Below are 12,300 nucleotides of genomic sequence, written 5' to 3'. Positions count from 1 at the left end.
TTAGCCACATTGTCAGATTATTCTTCAGAACAACTACCAGTTTATAGTGCCACTAGCTACTAGTTAAAATTGAATTTCATAAATTTTTTCTTCTAGTATAATAGCAGTTCTTCAGTTTTGTGGGCTTTTTTTGATATTTTAAATGTTTTATTAAAACTTTAAAACATAGAAAAAGCCCCAGGAATAATAGTACAGTGAACCACCCTTATACTCACCATCTATATTCAACATGTTGTCATATGTTTAATAATATGTTTATTATGTTAAACTTTTTAAAAATAAAGATATCATGATACTATGCCTTTAATATTTTAGCACACATCACCTGCAAGTAAGGATATTCTTCTACATAAACACAATACCATTATTAACACCTAACAAAACAGTAATTTCTTAATATTATCTAACATTAAGTCTGTAAGTTTCTCCAGTTGTCTCCAAAATGACCTTTTTTTTTTTTTTTTAAGACAGAGTTTCACTCTGTTGCCCAGACTGGAATACAGTGGTGCAGTCTCAGCTTACTGCAGCCTCTGCCCCGTGGGTTCAAGCGTTTCTCCTGCCTCAGCCTCCCAGGTAGCTGGGATTACAGGTGCCCGCCACCATGCCTGGCTAATTTTTATATTTTCAGTAGAGACAGGGTTTCACCATGTTGGCCAAGATGGTCTCGAACTCCTGACCTAAAGTGATCCACCCTCCTCGGCCTCCCAAAGTGCTGGGAATACAGGCGTGAACCACTGCACCCAGCCTATTTTTTTGTTTTTTTTTTTTCTGAGACAGTGTTTCACTCTTGTCTCCCAGGCTGGAGTGCAATGGCGTGATCTCGACTCACTGCAACCTCCTCCTCCCGGGTTCAAGCAATTCTCCTGCCTCAGCCTCCCTAGTAGCTGGGATTATAGGGGTGTTCCACCATTCCCAGCTAATTTTATATTTTTAATAGAGACAGGGTTTCACCATGTTGGCCAGGCTGGCCTCCAACTCCTGACCTCATTATAGGTGGTCTACCCACCTCAGCCTCCCAGTGTGCTGGGATTATAGGCATGAGTCACTGTGACCGGCCGTAATTTTTAAATTTTTTTTGTAGAAGTGGGGTCTCCCTATGTTGCCCAGGGTGGTCTCAAACTCGTAGGCTCAAGCAGTCCTCCTGCCTTGGCCTCCCAAGGTGCTGGGATTACAGGCGTGAGCTACCACGCCTGACCTCTTCTAGATTTTATTTCTGTTTTTGTATTATTCATTTGTAATTTTTTTTCTCTTTGTTGCAATTTGGGCACAGATTTATTTCTTTGTTTTTTTTATGTAACAACGTGGGAAAAATCTCACTGAGCCTCTGACTTACGGTTTATAATATGTTTATAATATGTGTTGGGATGAGTGGTTTTGGAAATCTCAAGTTTCATGTTTTACTAATTTATCTTTTGTTTCTTATACTAAGAAGTTAGGATTGAAGTTTAAAAATTAATGTTAATATTTCCTAATCCCTTAAATTGTCTATTATCCCTACCAAGAGCAAACCAGGGTTGTTGTATTGAAATGCCAATCACCTTGACAGGCATTTTGTTGATCCTTTCAGAGCATTAAGTTTCTCTGATTTGGCTGGAGAGCTGCACAAATTTTCCCTTGGGAGCCCCAGATCTGAGAATAAGCATGAAATAGTTTTTTTGTTGTTGTTTTTTTTTTTTTTAAGACAGAGTCTCCATCTGTCGCCACACTGGAGTGCAGTGGCGCAATCTCAGCTCACTGCAACCTCTTCCTCCCTGGTTCAAGAGATTCTCATGCCTCAGCCTCCCAAGTAGCTGGGACTACAGGCACATGCCACCACGCCCAGCTAATTTTTTTTTTGTATTTTTAGTAGGTACAGGGTTTCACCATGTTGGCCAGGCTGGTCTTGATCTCTTGACCTTGTGATCCTCCCACCTCGGCCTCCCAAAGTGCTGGGATTACAGGCATGAGCCACCGTGCCCGGCCACCATGAAATAGTTTTATAAGGACCTCATGAAAGGGTATAGGGAGGATGAAATTGGATCTTATAATAGTTATGCCTAGGCAAATTGTCTTTAACAGTGAGCATTTAACTGTTTATTTAGACACTTTAACAATGTCTTATAAGTTATCCTGAAACATTTAAGGTTGTGTGGTTACAAGGCCAACTTAATTTTTTAAATACTATAAGTGTAATATTCAGATGGAGGCATTCATGAAATAATGTTGTTTCAATTAACCATTCCACAGTCTTTTTGTTCTTGTATAGTAACTTCAGGAGCAGGAAAGTGCCTAGCAGAGTGCTAGTAGGCAGTTGGTAAAGGGTAGTCAAATAAATGCATCCATGGAAAGTTTTCAAATTACAGTAGATTATTAGAAATTAAGAAAGACTTCTGTTACATATTGAGAGATACATATTTCTCATAAAAATAACTCATGTTCTGTAAATCTGAAATTGATTCATAAAATGAAGTTTTTTAAATGCAGGCAAAAGAGTCTCATGATGATAAAGAATCAACAATGTTATTATTAGCCAACTGAGAGGGAGAGGTTGTTGCACCTAGACAACAGATCAGAGGTTTGCATTTGATACAAGCTGAAGAATATGCTTGTATTTATGAAGCAGGTGCCAGAGGAATTCTAGTATTTTTATTTTACAAAGCTACTTTAAACATATTTGAATAGAGATAATCATTTGTAAAATGCATTTTGAAAGCATATATATATATATATATATATATATATATATATACACGTTGTTGTTGTTGTTGTTAAATAGTCCTTGAGTTTTCTTAAACCTGGAAGGAACCTGAGATTCTGTTTAGTCCTAGCTCTGGTGTTCATCCTCTCATTTTAATACTCTTAGACCAGAGAGATTTATGTCTTGCCCTAAATCATAAAACAACTTTATGGGACAGCCATGACTAAAACCCACTCTGCAATGCTCAGCCTAGCCCTTTTTCCGTTCTATCACCCTATATTTTCATATCAAAAATAATGCTAGTCTATCTGAATAGGTACACAGTTGATTTTACTACTAATAGTTTGACATATGTCTACATTGAAAGCATTTGAAAAAGGATATTGAGGTTAAGAAATGGTTGCACAGAGTCCGGGCACGGTGGCTCACACCTGTAATCCCAGCACTTTGGGAGGCCAAGGTGGGCAGATCACAAGGTCAGGAGATCGAGACCACGGTGAAACCGCGACTCTTCTAAAAATACAAAAAAATTAGCTGGGCATGGTGGCGGGCGCCTGTAGTCCCAGCTACTCGGGAGGCTGAGGCAGGAGAATGGCGTGAACCCGGGAGGCGGAGCTTGCAGTGAGCCGAGATTGCACCACTGCACTCCAGCCTGGGTGACAGAGCGAGACTCCGTCTCAAAAACAAACAAAAAAAAAAAAAGAAAAAAAATGGTTGCATGGGCGTTAGGCTTTATTTAATTTCCTCATATGGATGGTACAATAGCTTCAATAGTGCACAGTTATGAACCCAGGACATGTGTTTTCTATTTACTTGTTTGCTTGTTTTTTGCAGTTCTCACTTGTAATACTTATTTTTTTCATAGTCTTAAGTAGGAAAGTAATGTTAAATTAAAAAGTATAATAATATCAACATATTTACAATTTATAACAGAAAGAGTAGGAAAGTGATATGAAGGACTTCATTTGTAGCTAACTATATCTGTGACCTAGGACAAATCATGTAACCTTGACTATTTCTGATACCTGCTTACTTAGAATCTTTCAGAGATTCTGCCCAGGACAAATGTATCTATTGTAAAAATGTGTTAATTGATGTGTAACATACAAAGAAAAGCACACAAATTATAAGGTTAATGAATTATAAAATTAACACACTTGTGTAACCACTACTGTGGTATTTCAAAAGTATATTGAGCCTCTTTGATGATTATAAGCTTTCCTTAATAAAAGCCACTGGACTAGAAATTGTAGATAGGTCATCTGTCTTTTACAACTCTTTTTTTTTGAGACAGTCTAGCTCTGTCACCCAGGCTGGAGTGCAGTGGTGCAATCTCCACTCACTGCAACCTCTGCCTCCCAGGTTCAAGTGATTCTCCTGCCTCAGCCTCCCGAGTGGCTGTGACTACAGGAGTGCGCCACCATGCCTGGCTAATTTTTTTTATTTTTAGTAGAGATGGGGTTTTGCCATGTTGGTCAGGTTGGTTTCGAACTCCTTACCTCAGGTGATCCACCCACCTTGGCTTCTCAAAGTGCTGGGATTACAGGCGTGAGCCACAGCACCTGGCCTTTTACAACTCTTTCTAGAGTAAAATTAGCAGAAACAGTGGTAGAGAGAAGGAATTTGGCCAATCACAAAAATTTATTTTGAATAGGTTTATAAGGGTTTATATGTAGTCTTTTCTTCTGATGTTTCTCTTCTTCCTCTTGCCCTTTTTCTTTTTTGTTTAGGTCCTGGGAGGAATGGAGAGGGGTCCCACTGACTAACTTTTCTGAGAGTGGTCAGAGAGTTCTTAAGCAGGTCTGTTGATTCTGTAGAATACATGAAATTCAATTTATAAAAGGCCTAATTTCAACTTAAAGGATTGGATTATAAATAGACTTTACTTTTTAAAAAGGAGGCATTTTGATCCTAATGTCCATAGGGTATTTTACTTTGGCAAGCTGCATTTGGCATGTGGGTTGGATCAAAACTGACTAAATTAAATAAGATCTGCTTAATAAAAAAGCATTCAAGTCATGTCTTATTAGTTATGTTGAATACATGTAATATGGCAGAATTCTTTATTGGTTCCATGAAAAGTACCAAGAAAAGACAAAAAGGTGAATTTCTCACTTGTTCATAATTCTGGAGGCGAATGGAGGCATGGATAAATCCAAAAAGCAAAATAAGCATTTATTTGGCCTTCTCTCTGATATTTTCAGAATTCATAACTTTGCAGGGGGAAATCAAGGCTACCTTACGATCTCAGAGAAGGGCAGGTGTATATAGTTAGTTTCATTCAGCTGCCTCTCTCTCTGTCATCTTGAATTAGCTTTTTCTTGATCACACAGATAAAACTTTAGCTCAGTGATTTCCCAAACCTGTCTTCACATTGAAATCACCTGTGGAGCTTGGACAACTGATGCCATTGTCCCTTTCCCTTCCCCAGCAGATTGTGATTTGATTGCCCTGGGAGTATGGCCTGGACTTTGGAATTTTTAAAAGATCTCAAGAAGATCTAAAGTGCAGACAAGGCTGGGCACTGTGGCTCACGCCTGTAATCCCAGCACTTCGGGAGGTCGAGGCAGGCGGATCACCTGAGGTCAGGGGTTCAAGACCAGGCTGACCAACATAGAGAAGCCCTGTCTCTACTAAAAATACAAAATTAGCCAGGCGTGGTGGTTCATGCCTTTACTCCCAGATACTCGGGAGGCTGAGGCAGGAGAATCGCTTGAATCCGGGAGGCAGAGGTTGCAGTGAGCCAAGATCGCACCATTGCACTCCAGCCTGAGCAACAAGAGCGAAACTCCGACTCAAAAAAAAAAAAAAAAAAAGCACAGACAAGTTTGGGAACCACTGCTAGCTAAAGCAGAACTGGCCACTGTGTGACCTGTGACTTTTTTCCCCCCATAAATATTTGGATAAATATTTATAAATAGAGGGAAAAATATTTTGATTTAAGAATCCTGGCTGGGCACAGTTCCAGCACTGTGATTTGATTTAAGAATCCTGGCTGGGCAGAGTTCCAGGGAAGGTAGGGCAGGAGGACCGTTTGAGGCCAGGAGTTGGAGATCAGCCTGGGCAACATAGCAAGACACTGTTTCTTTTTTTTTTTTCTTTTTGAGACGGAATCTCGCTCTGTTACCAGGCTGCAGTGCAGTGGCACCATCTTGGCTCACTGCAACCTCCGCCTCCTGGGTTCAAGCGATTCTCGTGCCTCAGCCTCCTGAGTAGCTGGAACTACAGGCGCCTGCCACCACACCCAGCTAATTTTTGTGTTTTTAGTAGAGACAGGGTTTCACCATGTTGGCCAAGGTGATCTCAAACTCCCGACTTCATGTGATCCACCCTCCTCGGCCTCCCAAAGTGCTGGGATTACAGGCATGAGCCACCAGGCCCCGCCAGCAAGATACTGTTTCTACAAAAAAACAAAAACTAAAAAAAAAGGCCGGGCACGGTGGCTCATGCCTGTAATCCCAGCACTTTGGGAGGCCGAGGAGGGCGGATCATGAGGTCAGGAGATCGAGACCATCCTGGCTAACACGGTGAAACCCCGTCTCTATTAAAAATACAAAAAATTAGCCAGGACTAGTGGCAGGCACCTGTAGTCCCAGCCACTTGGGAGGCTGAGGCAGGAGAATGGTGTGAACCCAGGAGGCGGAGCTTGCAGTGAGCTGAGATTGCACCACTGTGCTCCAGCCTGAGCGACAGAGCGAGACTCCATCTCAAAAAATAAAAAAGGAAATTGCCAGGCAGTTTATTCAGCAGGATTTCCATGTAGGGTACAATAGTTATTTATTGTTGCATAACAGATTACCACAAATTTAGTAGTTTAAAACAACATACATTTTTATTATGGCATGGGTTTCCATGGGTCAGGAATCGGCATAGCCTAGATGGGTCTTCTGTTTCAGGGTCTCTCACAGGAGGTAGTCAAGGTGTCAGCCAGGGCTGGTGTCTCATCTTAGCGCTTGGCTGGGGAATAATCTGTTTCCAAACTAACTTGGTTGGTGACAGAATTCTCTTCTTGAAGGGATGTTGAATTGAAGGGCTTGGTTTCTCACTGGCTGATGGCTGGAGGTTGCTCTGAATTCCTTTCCATGTAGCTTCTTCAACATCACAAAGCTGAGAAAGGAATAGCAAGTCTCCTAGGAAGATGGAAATCACAATTTTTTATAATCATGGAGTGGCATCCTATCACATTTTCCATAGTCCGTTAGTTAGAAGCAAATCACCAGGCCAGTCCATACTCAGGAGGAAGAGATTACACAAAGGCATGAACACCAGGAGGCTGGAGTAATTGGTGGCCATTTTACAAGTCTGTCTACCACAGACTTCTTTAGAAAAAACAATCCTAAAATTTGTATGGCAGGCACCACAAAAGACCTTGAGTAGCCAAAGCAATCCTGAGCAAAAAGAGCAAAGCTGGAGGCAGTACACTTCTTGACTTGAAAGTATACAAAACTATTGTAACCAAAACAGCATGGCACTGGCATAAAAACAGACACATAGACCAATGAAACACCATAGAGAACCCAGAAATAAATCCACACGTTTACAGCCAACTGATTTTCAACAGAGACGCCCAAAACATACATTGATAAAAAGACAGTCTCTTCAATGCATATGCTGAGAAAACTGGATATCCACATGGAGAAGAATGAAACTAGACCCCTATCTCTCACCATATACAAAAATCAACTCAAAATGAGCTAAAGACTTAAATGTAAGACCTGAAACTATGAAACCACTAAAAGAAAACATAGAGGAAACACTTCAGGACATTGGTCTGTGCAAAGGTTTTATAGATAAGACCTTAAAAGCACAGGCAACAAAAACAAAAGCTGGCAAATAGGATTATATCCAGTTAAGAAAGCTTCTGCACAGCAAAGGAAACAGTGAGGAGATAACCTGCAGAATGGGAGAAAATATTTGCAGACTATTCATGTGACAAGGGATTAATATCTGGAATAAAGAAGGAACTGAAATGTTTCAACAGTAGAAAAACAGTCTGACTTTAAAAATTGGGTACTTGATCTGAATAGACATTTCTCCAAAGAAAATGTAAAATTGTCAGCAAGTATATGAAAATCTGCTTAACATTACTAGTCATCAAGAAATGCAAATCAAAACCACAATGAGATATTATTTCACCCCAGTTAAAATAGTGGCTATTACCAAAAAGATGGAGAAAAGGCAACTATTATATACTGTTGATTGGAATGTAAATTAGTACAGCCATTATGGAAAATAGTTATGGAGGTTCCTTGAAAAGCCAAAAAGAGGGCTGGGCGCAGTGGCTCACGCCTGTAATCCCAGCACTTTGGGAGGCTGAGGCGGGTGGATCACAAGGTCAGGAGTTCGAGACTAGCCAGGCTACTATGGTGAAACCCTGTCTCTACTAAAAATACAAAAATTAGCTGGGTACAATGGTGTGCGCCTGTAATCCCAGTACTAGGGAGGCTGAGGCAGGAGAATCTCTTGAACCTGGGAGTTGGAGGTTGCAGTGAGCCGAGATCATACCACTGCATACTAGTCTGGGGCCTGGGCACCAGAGTAAGACTCCGTCTCAAAAAAAAAAAAAAGCTAAGAAGAGAACTACCATATGATCCAGCAATCCCACTAATAGGTATATATTCAAAGGAAAGGAAATCAGTATGTCAAAGAGACATCTACATTCTCATGTTTATTGCAGCACTATTCACAATAGCCAAGATAATCAACTTGTGTCCATCAGTACATGACTAGATAAAGAAAATGTGGTATATATACCATAAAAGAATGAAATCTTGTCATTTGTAGCAACATGCATCAGCCTGGAGGACATTATGTTAAGTGAAATAAGCCAGGCACAGAAAGATAAATGCCATATGTTCTTATATGTGGAAGGTAAAAAAGTTGATCACAATAGAAGTAGATCGTAGAATAGGCCAGGTGTGGTGGATCACACCTGTAATCCTAGCACTTTGAGAGGCCCAGGTGGGTGGATTGCTTGAGCCCAGGAGTTTGAGATCAGCCTGGGCAATATGGCAAAACCTCATCTCTACTAAAAATATACAAGAAAATTAGCTGGGCGTGGTAGTGCGCGCCTGAAAATCCAGCTGCTAGGGAGACTGAGGCACAAGAATTGCTTGAAACCAGGAGGCAGAGGTTGCAGTAAGGTGAGATTGTACCACTGCATTCTAGCCTGGGTGACAGAATGAGACTGTCTTAAAAAAAAAAAAAAAGGGTATAAGAAATAGAGAGTAGAACAGAGGTTACTAGAGTCTGGGAAGAGCAGGGGAAGGATAAAAAGAGACTGGTTAATGGATACAAAATTATAGCTGGATAGGACGAATACGTTCTAGTGTTCTCTAGCACTGTAGGATGACTATAGATAAAAATAATTTATTGTATATTTTCAAATAGCTAGAAGAGAGGATTTTGAATGTTCCCAACACAAATAATAAATGAGGTGATGGATGTGCTAATTAATTACTCTGATTTGATTATTACACATTGTATACATGTATCAAAATATTATACTGTACCCCATGTATATATACAGTTATGTGTGATTAAAATAATTTTTTTGAAAAAGAAAGCGGAAGTAACATGTTTTATATATTTTATATTTAAAATATAAATATTGCTCATGATGTTAAATATTCTCAAAAACATTAGTCTCAATGGGAAGCAATATTTGAGTATATTTAAATTGTTTAACCACTTCTGTTGTTGAACCATCAACAGAATATTTTGATGAACTTTTTTTTTTTTTTTTTGAGACAGGGTCTCACTCTGTTACCCATGCTGGAGTACAGTGATGCAGTCATGGCTCACTGCAGCCTCAACCTCCCAGGTCCAAGCAATCCTCCCACCTCAGCCTATTGAGTAGCTGAGACCACAGGTGTGCCACCACACCCAGCTTGCTTATTTATTTATTTATTTATTTATGACAAGGTCTCCCTCTGTCACCCAGGCTGGAGTGCAGTGGCGTGATCTCGGCTTACTGCAACCTCCACCTCCTGGATTCAAATGATTCTCCTGCCTTAGCCTCCTGAATAGCTGGGACTACAGGCACCTGTCACCACGCCCGGCTAATTTTTGTATTTTTAGTAGTGATGGCGTTTCACCATATTGGTCAGACTGGTCTCCAACTCCCGACCTCAGGTGATCTGCCTGCCTCAGCCTCCCAAAGTGCTGGGATTAAGGCATGAGCCACCACGCTTGGCCTAAATTTTATTTTTGTAGAGATGGAATCTCACTGTGTTGTCTAAGCTGTGATGACGGTTTTTTGTTTTTTTTTTTAAACGGTGTTTCTCCCTGTCACCCAGGCTGGAGTGCAGTGGCGCAACCTCCACCTCCCGGGTTCAGGCATTTCTCCTGCCTCAGCCTCCTAGTAGGTGGGATTACAGGTGTGTGCCACCACACCCAGCTAATTTTTTGTATTTTGGGTAGAGACGGGGTTTCATGATGTTGGCCAGGTTGGTCTCTCGAACTCCTGACCTCAAGTGATCCGCCTGCCTCAGCCTCCTAAAGTGCTGGGGTTACAAGTGTGAGCCTCTGCACCCGTCAGTGATGAACTTCTTTGAATATAAATCTTTGACCACAAAATCAGTTATTTCATTAGGTTAGATTCCTAGATTGTTAAGCTTATGGTTAAGATGTTAAGGATAATTCTATTTGCTTATATTTAAGCAAAATGTAAATGTTAATCTATTTCATTGTACATTGCCACAATTATTTTATTTTTAAATCTTCCAGTTTGATGAAAAAAGACACATTTCACTTTGTTTTTTTGTTTTTTTTTTCTTTTTTTTTTTAGACCAAGTCTTGCTCTGTCACCCAGGCTGGAGTACAGTGGTGCCGTATTGGCTCACTGCAACCTCTGCCTCTGAGTTCATGTGATTCTCCTGCCTCAGTCTCCCGAGCAGCTGGGATTACAGGTGCAGGCCACCACACCCTGCTAATTTTTGTATTTTTAGTAAAGACGAGGTTTTACCATGTTGTCCAGGCTGGTCTTGAACTCCTGACCTCAAGTGATGCAGTCGCCTTGGCATTCCAAAGTTCTGAGATTACAGGTGTGAGCCATCATGCCTGACCTGTTTTTCTTTGATTACTTACGAAGTGTAGCAAGCTTTTTGATCATTGATTATTTTCATTTCTAATTTTATAAATCGCTGGGCATGGTGGCTCATGCTTGTAATCCCAGCACTTTTGGAGGCTGAGGTGGGTGGATCACTTGAGCCCAGGAGTTGGAAACCAGCCTGGGCAACATGATAAAACCCTGTCTCTACAAAAAATACGAAAATTAGCCGGGCATGGTGGAGGCTGAGGTGGGAGGATCACTTGGGTCCATCTACTCGGGAGGCTGAAGTGGGAGGATCACTTGGCTGCATTGAGCTGGGAATTGTGCCACTGTCCTTTAGCCTGGGCAGCAGGGTGAGACCCTGACTCAAAAAACTAAAACAAACAAAAATGTGTAACTCTCAACTTGCATTTTGCCTTTCAGTTCATGTGCATTTTGACTTGCAAAAATTTTAAAATAATGTAATTATATAATTAAACCTATATTTTGCTTAGTTGTTTCGAACAGTTCATGAACTGATATATTTTAATATGTAACCAATATATGATCATAGTATTATTTCGTTTTTATATTTTCACCAATTTTTTTTTTCTTTTTTTTGAGACGGAGTCTTGCTCTGTTGCCAGGCTGGAGTGCAGTGGTGCAATCTCGGCTCACTGCAACTTCCGACTCCCTGGTTGAAGTGATTCTTCTGCCTCAGCCTGCCAGGTAGCTGGGATTACAGGCATGCGCCACCACGCCCAGCTAATTTTTGTATTTTTAGTAGAGACGGGCTTTCACCCATGTTGACCAGGATGGTCTCGATCTCCTAACCTCGTGATCCGACTGCCTCGGCCTCCCAAAGTGCTGGGATTACAGGTGTGAGCTACTGTGCCTGGGCTAATTTTGTATTTTTAGTGGAGATGAGGTTTCTCCATGTTGGCCAGGCTGGTCTTGAACTCCTGAACTCAGGTGATCTGCCTGCCTTGGCCTCCCAAAGTACTGGGATTATAGGCGTGAGCCACCGCACCCAGCCTATGAATGATTTTTTAATGTGTTGTTTAATTTGATTTGTCAGTATTTTGTTGAGGATTTTTGCATTAGTGTTTATCACTGTGTCTATCATCTTTTTTTGATGTTTCTTTGCTTTTGGTATCAGGGTAATATTGGCCTTGTAGAATGAGTTTGGAACTATTCTCTTCACTATTTTTTGGAATAGGTCGAGTAGGATTGGAATTAGTTCTTCCTTAAATGTTTGGTAGAATTCAGCAGTGAAGCCATTGGATCCCAGGCTTCTTTTTTATTGTGGCTTTTACTTATGGCTTTGATCTTGTTTTTTGTTTTGTTTTGTTTTGTTTTTGAGATGGAGTCTCTGTCGCCGAGGCTGGAGTGCATTGATGCAATCTCGGCTCATTGCAACCTCCACCTCCTGGGTTCAAGTGATTCTCCTGCCTCAGCCTCCCGAGTAGATAGGACTGTAGGCACGTGCCACCATGCCTGGCTAATTTTTGTATTTTTAGTAGAGACAGGGTTTCACCTGATCTTGTTACTTGTTACTGGTCTGTTCAGGTTTTGGATTTTTTCATGGTTA

The 12,300-nt window shown here is 40.9% G+C and overlaps 1 protein-coding gene across 36 annotated transcripts in view; it reads left to right on the top strand.

The window, feature by feature from the left end:
• The window catches only part of NCOA6 (nuclear receptor coactivator 6), a 110,878-nt gene that overhangs the window by 11,722 nt on the left and 86,856 nt on the right, over positions 1 to 12,300 (top strand). For 4 of the 36 annotated variants that reach the window (XM_047440053.1, XM_047440049.1, XM_047440047.1 and 1 more), the window contains exon 2: positions 4,408 to 4,477. The exons of the other annotated variants lie outside the window; for them this stretch is intronic. The gene's annotated coding sequence lies outside the window, so the exon portion shown is untranslated. The remainder of the gene's footprint in view (positions 1 to 4,407; positions 4,478 to 12,300) is intronic. 36 annotated transcript variants of the gene reach the window in all.

This window comes from Homo sapiens, chromosome 20 (genome assembly GCF_000001405.40).
Source record: "Homo sapiens chromosome 20, GRCh38.p14 Primary Assembly".
Taxonomy (NCBI): Eukaryota; Metazoa; Chordata; class Mammalia; order Primates; family Hominidae; genus Homo; species Homo sapiens.
The sequence above is the reverse complement of the archived record's forward strand: the minus strand, read 5'-3'. Positions and strand labels throughout refer to the sequence as shown.